The following is a 17525-nucleotide window of genomic DNA, read 5'->3' as shown; positions in this document are numbered from 1 at the left end:
CTTGCTGCAACTTGCTGCAGTGTTTGAAAGAGTAGTAGGAGCGCATGGAGGTGGGGCCGGGGAAAGACCAGGCGGAGTGGTTGTGGGGTGAGCGCGGAGTGGGTGGGGAGGCGGCGGCGGTGGGGAGGGGGGACTGGCCCCAGGGGGTGGGATGGGGGAGAACGGGGTAGCCCGGCGCTTACACATGTCACATGTGCTTTTTAAGACGGCCGGGAGCGCCTGCGAGCTGGATCTGGTGGAGGATGCTGCGGCAGGTGCTTCGCAGAGGGCTCCAGTCGTTCTGCCACAGGCTGGGTTTGTGCGTGAGCCGGCACCCGGTCTTTTTCCTCACCGTGCCCGCAGTCCTGACAATCACCTTCGGCCTCAGCGCGCTCAACCGCTTCCAGCCCGAGGGCGACCTGGAGCGCCTGGTCGCTCCCAGCCACAGCCTGGCCAAGATCGAGCGCAGCCTGGCCAGCAGCCTTTTCCCCCTGGACCAGTCCAAAAGCCAGCTCTATTCGGACTTACACACCCCTGGGAGGTATGGCAGGGTGATCCTCCTCTCCCCAACCGGGGACAATATTTTGCTCCAGGCTGAGGGGATCCTGCAGACCCACCGAGCCGTGCTGGAAATGAAGGTGAACCACAAGGGCTATAATTATACTTTTTCCCATCTGTGTGTGTTGAGAAATCAGGATAAGAAATGCGTGCTGGATGATATTATTTCAGTGCTAGAGGATCTCAGGCAGGCTGCCGTCTCCAATAAGACAACAGCCAGGGTGCAAGTGAGGTATCCCAACACTAAATTAAAGGTATGCTCCTTCTGCATGCTTCTGCCAATTAAAGAGGCAGCACTTCATTTCTTGCCCTAAACAAGCAAAGAAAATGCAGAGGTCTCATCCTTAAGACTCAGAAGCTAATGCTTCTTTCATTTCTGGGGGGAAAAGATGGGCAACTGAGTGAAGAAAACAGGCAATGAATGGTATGACTAGATATTAAGAAATTCAAGGCCAAACAAAACAAATACCAAAAATAAAAAAAAAAAGAAAAATGAAAACAAAAGTTATTTCTGAGACCCTGCAATTACATCTTTGTTCAGGGTTAATAAATCAGTGAATGGAAGGGGGAGGGGGAATCCTCAACAATTTGTGGGATTTCTTTTCATTATGGGGCTCAATGTATTTCTTATTACTGATTACACATCCACCTGGTGTCATATCCACCTATTTACATCTTCAGCCTGGCTTGATTGTTAACATGTGGGGAGTTTGTGTTTTGGTGCCGTGTGAGTGTGTGTCTGAAAGCAGTGAGTTATGAATGTAGTAGGGATTCCAGGAATGATGTGTATGGGTGTTTGCATAGCAAACGAAGCAGGAATTTTCTGTGTATAAAAATAGGAATGTGCACCTAACTGATGTACTAGATAACTGAGTCCAGTGATCTTCCTTTCCCATAAAAAATTCCAAATGAGAGCAAGATTATTACAACAGCCTTATAACAAAAGGAAAGAAAAAAAAATCACAGTCAGCAAAATTTACAAAGAACGGTCATTTCAGCATTAAATATATTGTGCTGTTTAGACTCTCAATTTAAATTTTTTCTCTCAAATGAGATTTCTAAACTCATTCTACACTGTCAAGATTGAGCTGCTGCAGGCAATGAGGCATGCAGTCTCCAGGTGACTGAAGTTTCAGGGACAAATGTGACTTCCAAAAGAGTCACTGCACCATTTGTCTGCTTGACCCTGTTCATGCCCAGAAGCTGCACAGCCAAGAACTCCCAAGACAGGTGTTTCCAAAGAAGAAAAAAATTTTTTTAATGTATGTGAAGATATGTGTGTGCATCTGTGGAGATAGTGGAATAGAAAGGACCCCAGTTTCAATAAATGAATGACCTAATATAGGAAATCACTAATTTGATATAGTCGGCATCTATACATTAAAAAAAAAAACCTTTTTCAGGAGTTTTGAGAGAAAAAATCTTTTTCCTAAATTGAAGGAGGATTTAATGCACTTAGAAACTAGAGATTCTTCAGGGAAACCTTATAACCTGCTTTTTTTTTTTTTCTTAACATGGTGTCCCCATTTAAATGAATCCAGAGGCTGACAAGGGTTTCAGCTTTACAAAGCTGAGCAGCCCCTTGATGTTTAGTGAAACGAAACAGATGATTTATCAGCTTTAAATCTAGGTTAGGGTTTGCCTGCTTCAAACTTATTGATGGGAGCATGTTGGATGTGTGGTTAGGCAGCATGCTTTTCATTTCCCCGAATCCTTTGCCATCAACATTATTGCTTGCTAAAGAAAAGGATGTGGTGGAGAGGTAATCTTCCTAACCTATACTCTTTTAATTGAGTTATTTCCTATACCAAACACCTGGAGTAAAGAAAGATTTGAAACTTTGTCATATATAAACTTCAGTTGGTTTTTCCTATGGAGTCAACTTTGTAGTTCATTAGTATGCATTATTGGTTGGGTCCTCTAGTGCTTGTATTTACAGTATCCTCCAGGTGTAAAATTTTTGTTCAATCAGCCACTGAGGAGATTTTGTTTATCTGGTAATATCATTATGCTATTTACAGTATAAAATCCCTGAGGTATTCAGTTTACTCATTTAATAATCATTTGTTGTGCTCTTATGATTTACTAAATGCTCTCCTAAGCATGTGAGACAGAGTTTGGGGCAAGAAAAGCAAAGTTCTCACTCTCGTGAGGCTTAGCAGTAGTAGTCTGGGTGACAGAGGGATCCCGTCTCAAAAAAAAAAAAAAAAGTAGATGTCAGTGTCCTCACCCAGAGTAACCTGCAAGCTGGAACTCTGCAATCTTTGAGTGCACCATTGACCCAACACCATGCTAGGCCTATAACAGGTGCTTCATGGAAAATTTATGCTGTTTGGTGGTTGATATACATCTTAGTAGAAGTCAGAGGGTAATTGCTAAAGAAGGGAATCATTAATTACAAAGGTTAATATCATAATAGCATAAAAAGAACAGAAGTGTTACACATTAGCTAAAGTTCTTATTCCACAATATTCTAGTATCTATCAATGTTTCCTCAAATGTGTTGTCTTAACTCTCTCTGCCTGGCATCAGTGGGAGTCTTTAAACTATGTTTGGGTAAATTGGGCTTTTGAGATTTTCTGAAAGCAATGGGCCCTCTCAAGTGTTCAAACACAATCTCATGCAATACATAATGGAATATTTAAAATATAATCTTAGGAGTACCATGGATGCCTAGAATCTTGTCAAAGGCTCTCCAGGGGCTCCCAGGATCAGAACTCCCTGGCAGAGAGCAAAATGAGATGGCCTTGTTTTAATTACATGTTATTTAAAAATGATTTTGGTTCCTGTGTTTCAAGGGCTCTCAAAGGATGCCTCTATGATGCTAATACACACTAACATGTGAGAACTCCTGGTGTACAAGATTTGAGGAAAATTTTTATATGTATTTTTTTAGCCCTCAAATTCATTTTGCTTTCTCCTGTTCTACTGGGTCACCACTCTTCCCAACTCTGACCAATATGGAAAATTTTAGTACTGGAAAATGCTATTGGAAGGCAGAAAATTAGGAAATTGCAGAATAAATAGCGGTGGATGCATAACATGAGTATGAATTGGCAATTACTTGACATTAAAGAAGCAGGTCAGTGCTTAGGGACAGGCTGAAGATGTGTAAACACTGATTGACTGACAGAAGTGGTCAGAAACCTTTGTTATGACAACAGAAGGTCATCTTCCAAATATTATTAAGACACCCAGGGAGTCCTGGACACAGAAAGGTTTAGAACTTCTGATAAACATGATTATGTTGACAAGGTGATCCAGACAAGCAGGGACACAGAAAGGTGCCTTCCATGGAATTCCAAATAGAGGCTTAGATAAAACTGGTATCAAAAAAGCAGCCATCGACTTAGAATACCACAAAAGAAATGGTACATATACACGATTTCAAAAGCTGTGTAGAAAATATGCCAAAATCTTAAATCCCTACATCTATATGACATGACCTCTGAAATTATTCCCTTCATTATAATCTTTCTTTTATATCTCTCACTAGGCACACAAATCATATCGTATATCCTTTCTGTACTATTCACTTTCCCCACCCCAACCCAATCTAGTTCTGTGTAGATAGTATTCACAACAAATAGTCATTAACTTATTGATTAATTTGCACACTTATACTGCTATATCACAAAATTATCATCACTTTTTCAACTTTTGTGGCTTACTTTTATTATAAAGGTATTCTTTGTATTCTCCAGCTGTCTTTAAAGTGCTTTTGACCCAAATATTTAGGGGCTATTTTTTTTCAACTATTAAAATATACACATCATACTATTGTATACAGTAATAGAAATGGGCAGACTGAATTTTTAAGTAAAATACTTAACATGTTGTTGAAGTCTACCTCTTGATTAAAGTGAGATAGGCCTTCAGAGTCTTTAAGCAACGACTTTTCTGGACTCTAAGAAATGTTTTCATTATCATTCAAGGAGGTCAGGTGTTTACAGGTAATATTTCCCTGTTTTTAGGTAGGCCAACATAACCTCACTTCTCCACCTGGCTAGTTTCATGAAAGCAACAATTCTCATATGTCCCCAGTTCTTTATTTTAGCTGCAGTAAAGACACAGGTAAAGATTTAAGCAGACAAATGTAGTCCTTCGATATGGGTTTGATTCCAAGTCTAGATCCCAACATCCTGGCCAACGGTGATAGAGAAATAAAGCAAATCTATTTCCCTGAATCCTGCCATTCCCATTATATGCCATTAATAACCACACCTCTGAACAGATGTTAAAGTGAAATCAGTATGTACTTCAATGTACCACATTTGAAATAAGAGCAAAGATAGACTTTCCTGCTTCTTAACAGAAGACAGTGTTCCTTTGGGTACATTTTGGGTGCATGCTCCAGGTTTGGAAGATGTTGCCGTTAATTATTTAGCTCCAATCTCAATGGAACAGTAACTTAAGCCAACATGAAAAGTGAGGACCAGCATTACTTGGGGAAATTTTCAAGCAAAGTTATGCTATGGACTTCTTTCTCTAATTCTAAAACCGTATAAGGTATACATGTCAGGATCTTCTCTGATATTTTGATTTAAGCTTACCTTTCTGACTGAGTAAAACATCACTACCTTACTGAATGTTCAGTTTGTATCCTACATGGTGCTAGGTGTTTCAAACACACATGCTATTTAATCTTTACAAGTTTTTAAGTCAGGGGGATTATTTCTATTCCCATTTTTATAAGAAAGAAAACTGAAGACCAGGAGGTTGACTTCCTTGAAGTCCCCAAGCTAGTACTTGCTGGAGCTTGGATTTAAATCCAGTTCTGTCGGGTACTGAAGCTCATATTCTTAACCACAATACAATATTAGATCCCATGACATCCTCCATCATTCTCTGTAACAACAGCCCTTTATACTAAGAAAGAAGTAGGGCTCTAATTCCTGACATCTGAAATCCATGACAAAATACCAGTACTAATGTTTCACATTATTTCCCTTACTTGCTCAGAGTGACTGGCTCATAGGAAGGTGACACAGAGTGAAGCTTCTAGTTTGGGCAAATTCTTACTATCCCCTTACTGTGGAGAGTTTAGCAAATTCTTCACTGGCACAGGATTTCATCTTTAATATCATTTTCTATCAAGTCAGAACAAACCAAGGTAAGGCTCCAGGATTAGCTAAAAGTAGATTCCTGTAACCTGGCCCAAAGTTTTGAGCCAGTGGCTTATGTGCCAAAGAAGCTTGAGTATTCCTGGCTTCAAATGGCCTGAAAAAAAAAATTTATGGGATAGCACAATATGCTCTAAATTGAGAAATATTCAGGAGACCTGAGTTCTATGAGACCTAGGTTTCTGTACTGGTTAGAACTCTCAGTTCTTTAAGGATCAATTGTGTGACATTAGGCAAGTCTCGTCACCAATGTAGGCGTCAGCTTCTTTCTCTGTAAAATGATAGAGTCAGGCCAGGGATTGTCAGGATTCTTGTCAGCCAATGAAAGTCTATGATTCTTAGGTACCATTCTACCACATAGTAGATAATTATCATTATAGTGGATTTGGGGATATATTCTAGTATGTTTTTCTTCTGGAGTAAAGTACATGTGCTTTTTTCCATTTGAATGATGCTACTGAAAGACTTTGATCATAGCACCCAACTGAATTATTGTACATATTTTTCCTGGCCATCCTATTGGGATAAGTTCTTTTATTGAATTTTTCTGAGCACCCAAAGTGGGCTAAAGAATTGCTTGGCACTGGGGCCTAGTTTCTGCTCCTTGGTTTCAGCAAGGCCTTAAAACCAGATTTAAATCTGGTTGTAAATTTTTCATAAGTACTTTTTTAAGCTTCCTTTTATTTTCCTAAGTCAAGGATTAAAAGAGGGTTAAAAAAAAGTGGGGGGTGGGGATAGAAAGCGTTCTCTCCATTCTTCTTCCCATTTACTTATCTTCAGCTTATCTGATGATAGTTTCCTTTAGTGGTTCAGAACCACCAAGGACTTGGGGTGGGGGTGGAGAGTAGAACTCAAAGACATACCCACATCATGATGGAAGTGTATAAGGAGACCAAGATCATCCCCACCCCGCCAAAAATACCATACTTCTTTCCATGTCCTGACACCATAAGCAATAATGCACTCTAACCGTTTTTATTTTCTTAATCTTTTCTACTTTAAATAATTCTATATTACAAGTGAAGCAATCTTTATGTTGCATTTTTCAAAATACATTGTGTATGCAGAATATTTTGCATTTTAACCCACTAGCGATTACACCGTGATTTGACCACATTGCTTTTAATTCTGTTCTAGAATTGACCAGCTTTTGCCCAGACCTGTTTCAGATACATCCAGACATAGGCTCAATATAAATATTTTTAAAGAAGAAATATGAAAATTCCAACCTCCTAGTTTTGCCCAAGACACCTTTTGATTGGACAGCAGATCTATTTCTTCCCTAACTTAGTTAAACAAATCACTCAAGTCTCCTCCCCAGGGTGGAATCATGGAATGACTCATTTCTCTAGAGTGTTTCTGCCAGTGTGCTGGTGGACAAGGGTACATTTACAACAGCCCTGGCATGCAGAAGTATTTAGGCAATGGTTCTGACTTAAAAGCATGCCAAATTGCATTGTAAGCCACATAATTAATTTCAGTTTGTTTTCTAAGACCTTGCTCCTCAAAGTGTTTTGTATAGACCAGCAGCATGAGCACCACCTGGGAGCTTCTTTGAAATTAAAACTCCTCAGGTCTTACAAAAGACCTACTGATCAGAATCTGCATTTCAACAAGCTCCCCAGATGATTAATATGCCCCTTTGTGTTAGAGACGCTCAGATCTAAAACTCAAGGTTGACCTCAGCACTCCTAATTCATGATGTGATTTGGAAGACTCATATATTGTTGAGACTGAATATGCCATAAGAAAATATGGTAATTGAGACTCTCAGCATATCGTTTATCATGGTGTTATCATGGAAACACCAAAGAGGTATCTGGAGAATTATCAAGAGGCTGTTCTATATTGAAAAACCCTCATCCCTATCATCTACAGTTGAGCCTGTCACCTGTTTAAGCTTTAAGCTGATTACAGTCGTTCAATATTTTCTAAAACTGTTGAAATTAAATCCAACCATCTCTTTAAGAAAAAAAAATCAGCAGCATTTTTCTCAAGTCCCTTTGCAGTTATTTCACAATAGTGGCAGCATTAAACCTTAGTTACTCCAATTATGTTAATATTATATGAGAACGCAAGATATGGGAACCATACATGGGAGTATTTGGAGGAAAATGAAACACAAAATTACAGAAGAGTGTACCTTTAAAGTGGCATTGTAATCTATGCTTTCTTCAGACAGGATTATTATGGAAGAGCCTCTCACTGAAATCAAGTCTCATTTTCTGTCATTGAGATGAATTCAGGGCCTCTGAAAGGTGCCTGATGAACAGCATTCAAAAATGAATGGATTGTGTTTAGTTACAGGATTTGTGTTGGAACAGTCGATGGTTCTCTTCTGGAGCTCCCCTCCCAACATGGAGAGACCTCACCTGGGATCTTCTAACTTTGCCATTTCAAAGGCTGAAGGCGTGTCAGGCACGGTGGCTCACGCCTGCAATCCCAACACTTTGGGAGGCTGAGGTGGGTGGATCGTTTGAGCCCAGGAGTTCAAGACCAGCCTGGGCAGCATGGTGAAACCCCATCTCTATGAAAAAATACAGAAATTAGCCAGGTGTGGTGGTACACACCTGTGGACACAGCTACTTGAGAGGCAGAGGTAGAAGGATGCCTTGAGCCTGGCAGGCTGAGGTTGCAGTGAGCCAAGACTGCATCACTGTATAGCCTGGACGAAAGAAGGAAACCCTGTCTCAAAACAACAAAACAAAAAGACTGAAGACAGAGCATAGGTTCTGGGTTCTAGAAAGCTAAAAAGGTATGTAAAGGGCTCTCATAGTTTCAGGAGGTTATGAAAGAAGATCAGGTATTCATGACAGATGGAAGTTTGTTTGGATGTTAAGGGTTCAGCCTCAAAGTTTACTCTTCCCTTTAAATTTGAGCTCCGTTCTCTTACCTCACCAGGTCCTTTAATGACATGGAGAGTGAGCATGTTCAGTTCTGATTGTCAGTGCAGGCCATACTAATGTGGGTAAGACAGACATCGTGTGGGTAAGATTCAAAAGCCATTCACATACACATTCATTTAGGAAACTTTTGTGTCTGCTAAGTCACATGCAATGTGTTGGCCACTGGAGATTCAGTGAGACAAAACAGATGTGGTCCTTGCCCTCCGGGAGCTTGAGTCTTGTTAAAGAAAGCACACACACACACAATCACATAGATAAATTCATAATTACAAATTATCATGGATGAAAAATACATGATGCTGTGAGAATAGAATACCAAGTTTTGGGGTAAAAAACGGTTTTCTTGAGAAAGTGACTGTGAGCAGAGATCTGACGGGTGAGAGGGAGTTAACACACAGGGGTGGGTTAATGGTAGAGACAATAAAGAATATGATGGAAAGGACGTGGTGCCCTAGAAGCACTGAAGGAAAGACACTGTGGATAGAGGTTAAAGAGTGATGGTGGTGAGTGCTGAGGGTCATGTAATGAATTTCTTGAGAGTCAGCATAGGTCAGGGTTTGTATATCCAGATTGTGTTACATCTCAGACCTACCCCCATTAAGTCTATGACTTTAGGTACTTTTTTGTTTGTTTGTTTGTTTGTTTGAGACAGTCTCACTCTGTCGCCCAGACTGAGTGCAGTGGCGTGATCTCGGCTCACTGCAACCTCTGCCTCCCGGGTTCAAGTGATTCTCCTGCCTCAGCCTCCCGAGTAGCTGTGACGGCAGGCACCCACCACCAAGCCCAGCTAATTTTTGTATTTTTAGTAGAGACAGGGTTTCACCATGTTGCCCAGGATGGTGTGTATTTCTTGACTTTGTGATCCGCCCACTTCCGCCTCCCAAAGTGCTGGGATTACAGGCGTGAACCACCCCGCCCTGCCCATTTTTTAACTTCTTTGTAACACTTCCCTCATAATAGCCCTTACCTTACAGTATTGAGTGTATTAAATCAGCTCATAATACCTTAGGCAGTACTTCTCATACTCTAATAATCATCTAAGAATCTTGTTAAAAATGCAGATTCTTCTTCAGTAGGTCTGGAGTGCAGTGAGAGTCTGCATTTCAAGCAAGCTCCCGAGTGACACTGATGGTGCTGGTACATGATCCACACTCTGAGTAGGAAGATTATAAGGTGCTTAGAACAGCACCTGGTTCATTATACATTCTTAACAAATGCTAGTGGGTTAAGTTCTTGAGCGTTGACCTTCAGCATTGACCTTCTGCCCTTATCCGGAAGACAGGGAATTACCTTCTTTTGAATTCATGATTAGATTTAAAAATCATTTTTGTTTCAACTCTCAAAGCTGAAAATCTCTCCTATTTTTGGTAGTCCTCATTAATTCCTTAGTAAGTGTAATAAGATGGACATAGACCCTTCTGCCTTTTGCACTGAAGAACTGGAGCTGCCTGCAGGTCATTATTCGGAATGTGACCTCTCTTTGCTAAGGACAGTTAAAAGTAGCAAAGGAAGATCTCTTGGACCCTTGTCTCAGTGTGCACTGGGTCTGAAAGTATTTTCAAGATTGTATTTTTATGATATTCTAAATAGAGCTAGCCTTGACCACTTTCTTCCCTCTTGGTTTTGTGAGATTATGGTTTTTCTATTTCTCTGATGGTTCTCTACCGTTTGCTGGCTTACTTTCTTTTCCATTCCCATAAGCATATTTTTTAATAATTTTTTTTCTCAGAATCCATTCTCTTAATATTCTCATTCAAGCCAAGCATCTGCTATTTTCTTCCACATCTGTAACTTTTTCAATGGCATCTCTATGCTACCATTAACTCAGACTCAGTGTCTCGGTCATCTATAATTAAGTTTCCCCCACTCAGTCAAAACATATAAACAGTAATATCTAATTAATCATCGGACCATAATCATTCTACAGCAGTAGTTCTCAAAGTGTAGTCCTTGGACCAGCAGCATTGTCATCACCTGGGAACTTGTTAGAAATGCAAATTTTCAGACCTAATTCGGGATCTGCTGAAACACTGGGGCTAGCGCCCAACAAGCCCTGCAGTTGATTCCGATTCCACTTAAAGGGTGCTCAGTCTTGGCTGAGTGTAGAAATCATTAGTGGAGCTTTAAAAATACTGATTTCATGGATCCCATCTAGAGAGATTCAGATTTAATTAACCTGGAGATGGCCCAGGCACTGTGACTTTTAAAGGCACCTCTGGTGACTATAACAGATTACCAATGCTCAGAACCAAAGTCTTTTTTTCAAATATATTTTCATTTTCATTCTTGGCTGTCTCTACCTGAGGCCTTCATTGTCATTTATCTATTCAAGTGACAACCTAATCTTTCTCACTATAATTTATCAGGCTTAAACCTAGTCTACATTACAAGATCATGTGAATCTCTTGATTATTCTCTTCCTTAACCAACACTTACAAGCACTTCCCATTTCAGGAAGAAAAAACTACAAACTCCTGACCATGGCCACTGAGAACTTCCCTTAGCTCAGCCTTCAAGTTCCCTTGTAGTTTCAGTTATCATTACATCAAATGCTGCAACAAACAAAAACAATCACATCTTGAACTTTCCTGGTTTCTTATCATCATTCATACTCTTCCTTTGGCTTGGAATTTATTGCACAGTCAAAATCATACATATCTCTTAAAAGCTGAGGCCTTAAAGCCACTTTTTCCATGGAGCTTCTCTAAGTACTTCCAGAAGTAGAAAGCATTTTCATGTACTTTAGAGGTAGGTAGTTCCCTTAGTCTCCATCTAACTTGTGTTATAAATGTACAGTGAATCTCTACTAAAGTGTAAGTGTATGTGTCTAATGAACTAATAGGGCATTTAGCTTTCTTAGCATAAATTAATTTGCCTGGGAGGATATAACCAGCAAGGAAATCTGCAGGGCAAGTCCTTGAAGGAAGTTGTAAAGGAATCAAACCAAAGCCCATTCCAGTCAGTCTGATATCCTATGATTTGTCCAAGCTCTGGCTACAGAAAGACATTGAAAGCCATTTTCATGAGTGGTCCTGAGATACACGAGGCACAAGCAACAGCTTTGGGCTCAGAAAAAAAAAACAAAAAAAACAAAAAAAAACAAAAAAAACCGCCGCCAGAAGAGGGAGGGAGAGACTTTTTACCCACCTGTACACAGCACCCATGTGGCTTCAGCTAAGGAAAGGTTGCAGAGAGCATATGCTTGGGCACCTGATGGGTTGCCAAATATAGCAAGTAAAAATACAGGACACCCAGTTAAATTTAAATTTCAGATTTTGTTTTAAAGAATAACTTTTTGGTTTAAGTATGTAATAAATATTGCATTCTTTACTTATCTGAAATTCAGATTTAACTGGGTGTGCTATATTTGATCTGACAAAAATGGCACCATGAGAGCTTGCAGAATCACATCTGGAGACTTCAGCACAGACTTCAGTGTCACATGGTCACCAGTGCTTGCAGTTCTAACTCACAGCAGTGATCATCAGCCAGAAGGTTGAAGAGGAAGACCATGAAAGGCCTAGAGGAGACTACTGAAACATATTCTGTATTCTAAGGACCCCTAGAAATGCATAGGTGAAGGTCTGCAAGGGCCAGAGCTCCCATCATATTCAAGTGGGAATGCCAGCAAGTGAAATTTAAGTTACTCTTAATATGACCTCTTTTGTATACTCTGGCCTTAAGAAACCCGAGTTACATTTATTGTTTTAATATATCCAAGAAAGTACACTCAATTAAGATTTCACTGAATCCAAATGTCTTTTGTTTTATATTTAACTATGAGAAAATAGAAACTATATATACATCAGAAAAATTTGATTACTGAAAATAAATGACAGGCACATATTAGTGAAAAGTTACAGACTGAAAATATTAACAGGCTAAAACCTGAACCCCTAGACAGTATAGGTTACCCTTTCTATGTATGAAAAATTTCATTAAAAACAAAGGTGAAGCATACTGTTAACATTTGTACTATAGCACTAATAAGTATATGTGTTACTTAGAACCTTTCTTATTTTCCTTCAAAATTATGAAGCTTTTGAAAGTAGCCTTTTATAAAGCTTTTGAGGATATGTATTGTATCTCGTTTACATTTATAGCCTTCTCCACATAATTTAAAAACAGTTTTGCATATAAGAAAGCCTTCAGTAAATGACGGATGAAATGAAGTAAATGTAAATGTATTTGTTTAGGAAGGGAGTTCTCATTTAGTGCTGATTCTGGTTGCCTGAATCTGTTTAATTCAACATTTACCATACTTTTCCACTAAGAGTGGGAAACATTGGATACCATCCTAATATTCCATATGTGGCTCTTGCATAGTACCCTTCCTTCATGGGAAAAACCTAGCTTGTCATTTCTTCTTCCCAGGAACTGAGTCTTTCCGTACAATTCAATGTAGGGGACAGTATCTACAGGGCAAAGACCTGGGTAGGTGAGGCAGAGCCTGCATAACAAGGCATGAGGCCAGAGAGGGTAGGGCGCCAGTAAGTGCCCCAGGAGACAGATACTCACCCTGCAAGAACACCTCAGGGGAATGAGAGAAGCTCAGGGTTTGAACTAGTTTAATGACCCCCTTTTATAGATAGAGCATACGTCTCTGAGGGAGTAGCACATAAAGCTGATATTAGCAGCTTGGCTCTTATTTTCATTTCATTCTTTCAATTATTTTCACCTTGGGGATTGTTTTTAAGGAATTGGATTCTTTCTAGGCTGTGAGCCTTTAGACTTTTTTATTAGCTAATCACATCTTATTAGAGTATCTCTTCCAAAGCAGTGTTCAAATTTATATTTTTAGAGTTAACTTCTCTTAAAAAGTGGTTTATAAACTGATATTATCTTACTCATCTTCCTCTTGATTGAAAAATATTTTGGTAATTGATAACTAACTTGATAAGAGCTTCTCACTCCCCATCTTTCCCTCTCAGCTCAATATCCTGTGAATTCATTGACTGGAAATTTATTTCCCATCTTTAACTATAAAATACACAGTTGTCATCATAGGTTGCATGTCTTTTTTATCCTATTTATTTTTATTGTTTTATCATAAACTTATAAGCATCCATTGACAATCAGACCCACTTAGACTAAAGCAACAAATGTTTTTACTGGGTGGATCCTGTTTCTTGATGGACTAGTAGGGGAGCCAGTTATTGATCGAGTCTGTCTTTAAAATTTTTTACATAATGATGAAGTGGGTAACACATAGGAAATAGACAAATCTATGAATCAAATATCTCCACTTACTTGCTGTATGACTTTGGATGTGACACTTAACATCTTTGTCCCTCAGCTTTTCTGGGATCAAAAAATGGTATTGTTAGTATACACCCTGCAGATTTTCAAAATTTTTAGCACTTGGTAGTTTTTAAAATAAATTGTAGCTAGTTTATATTAATATAAACTCAGAATCCTAACATCATTGGAAGATTAGGAAACCACGTGATAAATCACTTACCATCCCTGCACTAATTCTATAAAAAAATTATTTCCAGCCTTTAACTATAAAATACACGGTTGTCATCATAGGGTGCATGTTATTTTTTATCCTATTTATTTTTATTTTTTTATCATAAGCATATTTATAATCATTTTACCGGTTGCACAAAAGTTCACCAAGTAGCTATGATGTAATTTACTTAACCATTTATTGGTAACTTTAGAATACTTCTGGGGCAGTGTTTTGGGACTGAATTTTACAATCCTTAACAGACATAAGGAAGAAAGTAAAACCTTCTGACTTGCTAATAGAAACTGTAGGGAGAAATAATTCTTGTATGATTTAGAATGTTGCTTTCATAAGTTTAAACTTATGAAATTTATGCTTCCATAAGTTTAAACTTTCATGTAAACTTAAGAAAGCAAAATATAAATATAGGTCAACAAGTTCCAGGGGAGCAGTTGTTTCAAGAAAAACCTTGGATAGAAATTAGGAGGACCTGAGTTATTTATAGGCCAACTCCAACATGCTGTAAATTGCTTTGTTAAGGACTATATCCAAGATTAAGCTTCTAAGAGTACCTTGTGGCTTATCCTATTACTAAGTAATTTTTACTCCTTTTCACTTGGTATAGTTCAATGATTCTTCAAAGAAACACTTCAGGAACTTTTCAATTATGTAATGTCTGGGGCCCCTCTTAAGATCGATTGAATCAAAATATCTGGGGAAAGAACCCAAGCATTGGTGTTTTTCAAGATCCTTGAATGATTCCAGTGGATAGCGAAATTGAGAAATACTAAAGAACCTGAAACCGAAGAAAGATCCCCCTATCTTACCTAGCTCTTTTGTGGACGGGATGAGAGGATAAGGGAACACTTTAAAATAGCACCCATGCTGCTTTCCCTGAAACTCAGCTTCAGGCCAAGTTTGGGGTCTCAAAGGAGAGAACATCTGCCCTGACACCAGGTACCACGGTACCATTTTCCTGCCTGGTAAGTTGCCCCCATGGGAGCTCTGTAGCTAAAGGGAACAACTTTATCCTTTCCTGTACTTCCCTAATCTATAAATATTGGCTAGAAATATGGTGTCTTAATCAATTTGCTATGCTCCTAAGATGTCCCGGATTGCTTATCATTGGGAAAATATGTCCGGAGACACTTTAAAAGGCACACTAGTTTAACACATTAATGCAAGGGCATTCATTTTAAAAAGGAAATATGTAGACTCATGGTAAATATTTATTATGTTGATGATAGGGTCAAAAGTAATAAATTTTCATAGCTTAATGAAGTAAAATATTAAAACTTACTATAGACTTTTGATTTTTATTAAATTGTTATTAGCTCTCTGATTTCCATCAAGATAAACTAAATTCCTAGGCATCCTGAGATGGTCATTGTTTGTTTGTGATTTTGCAACTAATTTATTAATGTTATCCATTGTTAACCTATACTTTTGCTAAGCATATAGTAAGAGATAAGTATATGTCAAATTAATGAACGACAAAGTGAATTACTCTTTGACTTTTTAGCTGTCACGTTTTGAATATTAAAAGCATGATATTAAAGAATTTTAATCAGTCTTAGCTTAAACAAGACTTACTTGACATTCTCCGGCCAAATTGCATGTTTTCTGTCTCTTCACCTGTAAACAAAATGTTATACTCTTCTTCTAGATGTATTTACTAGTTTTAGCAAACCTGAGATCTCTCATTCATTCATATAAGGATCCTGGCTCCCCCAGATCAGTGTGGCAAGTCAACTCATATTCAAACAGTATTAACATAATATCAATTAGAGGAAAAGCATGTTCATTAAAGTGCAATGAATATTTAAAGTAGTTCCAGCTACATCGAAGCCATAATCATCCAAGTGCCCTTCTTGGGTCAGTAGAAAGCTTTTCCATTAGAAGTCCAGTGGGTTCACAAATCATTTACTCCCTCTTTTATTATTTTTAAACGGCAATTATAAATCCCTTGATACATAAGGTGAAAGGATGTTTTCTCAGTTAATATGAGTGATGTAGTATACACCACTGGCCACTGATAACTGGAAATTTTACATTACAAAAGGAGAGCCAAACATTTAGTACCCCATTATCACCTTTATATTAAATACTCTGTCTTTGACAGAAAGGCAAAAGCACTTTACATAGTTGAATCCGTATCTGCCTTATATTTTGCAATGCCATATAAAATAGGGAATTAACTCCTTTTCTATTTACTGCTCTAACACACCTCCAAAGAGTTTAACGTAAGCATCATATTTTGTGCATAGAGTTTCACAAAATGTATCTCCAAAAATTGTGGAGGGTTGTCTCATCTACGCACTTCAGGGAGCTCTGTTATATCTAAATTTCCTTAGTAACTTACTCACTATTTAATGTCTCTCCAGAAGAAAATTTTTTCTCATTTCTCTTTAAAACAAGCGATTGCTATTTGTTATTCTTCTAGTGGAGAAGGAGAACCAGTCATTCCTTTTTTTTTTCTTAAACTGTTCTTTACCTGTGACCTTGGAAATGATAATTATATTTTCTTAGCCTTCACCTCTCTGACTAAAAATCTCTCACACATAGATCTCATTCTCAACCTCCTACCCTTTTTGTTTTTAGCTCCTGAAACATTAAACTTTTAAGTTCAAGAAATTAATGCACCTCCTAAGTGCATATGATGTGTTATTTATAAAGATATCTAGGTGTCTTCTCAACTTTCTCCTCCCTGTATTTGTCTTATTTCAATGAATACTATTCTCAAAAGAGATGTATTCTGTGCTTACATTGTTTCAGACACTGTGCTTGGCACTGGGGTTATAGAGATAAGTCACAGGCTTTCTTTTTCAGAAACCTACAATCTAGTCAGGAAAGAAGACAGGTAAATAGGAAGTTAGCAGCACAGTCGGGTAACTTGAATCTTAAAAGTTAGTCCAAAATGATCTAGAGTTCTAAATAATTCAGAATTGTTGTTACATCAGATTCAGCCTCCTCAAGAGCTCTATACTTTTAAAAAATGGGCTTTACTTGTTGGTGAAAATCTTTCAGAGCTGCTTATCTCAATTGGTAATAAATGTTTTCTTTTTCAAAATTTATTCATTAAAATTGAGGTCAATGGAGAGCTGCTCTCTGCAAGCAGGGAACTATTTTGCTATGATCAGTTACTCTGAAGGTTATGAAGTCAGCATAAAATCCCAATAATGCTATAGACTTAAAAAATGAATACAAAGCAGGAAAATTTTATGGGTATGGACCAAGAAATATTAAGATGAAAAAACATGAGGGTTATTAATCATCCACAGGACCTGGCCAGAAGATTGTCAGATAGTGGAACTTTCCATGACCCCAAAAATTATCCTCCCTTTGGTCTTTTTTCCCTAGTGTGTAAGAACTGTTAAGGTAATTGTGGGACTACTTAACAAGCAAAAGTGAAGAGTATATATGACTTCTTTTATAAATCCCGAAGCATCCACAGCTAAGATGGTAAAATTATGAAGTAACTATAGCTAAGATGTTGAGCATTTTTAA

General features: G+C 38.3%; 1 protein-coding gene across 8 annotated transcripts in view; it reads left to right on the top strand.

The window, feature by feature from the left end:
• Positions 1–17525, top strand: part of PTCHD4 (patched domain containing 4) — a 254525-nt gene that overhangs the window by 42351 nt on the left and 194649 nt on the right. For 2 of the 8 annotated variants that reach the window (NM_001384253.1, NM_001410910.1), the window contains exon 3: positions 206–617. The exons of 2 other annotated variants lie outside the window; for them this stretch is intronic. In NM_001384253.1, coding sequence (NP_001371182.1) covers positions 206–617 — 412 coding nt within the window. Of the gene's footprint in view, positions 1–16; positions 792–17525 lie in introns of those variants that run through there. 4 more of the 8 variants (XM_017010892.2, NM_001013732.4, NM_207499.2 and 1 more) reach the window with 4 other exon arrangements.

This window comes from Homo sapiens, chromosome 6, assembly GCF_000001405.40.
Source record: "Homo sapiens chromosome 6, GRCh38.p14 Primary Assembly".
NCBI classification, from domain to species: Eukaryota; Metazoa; Chordata; class Mammalia; order Primates; family Hominidae; genus Homo; species Homo sapiens.
This window is presented reverse-complemented; position numbering and strand designations above follow the sequence as displayed.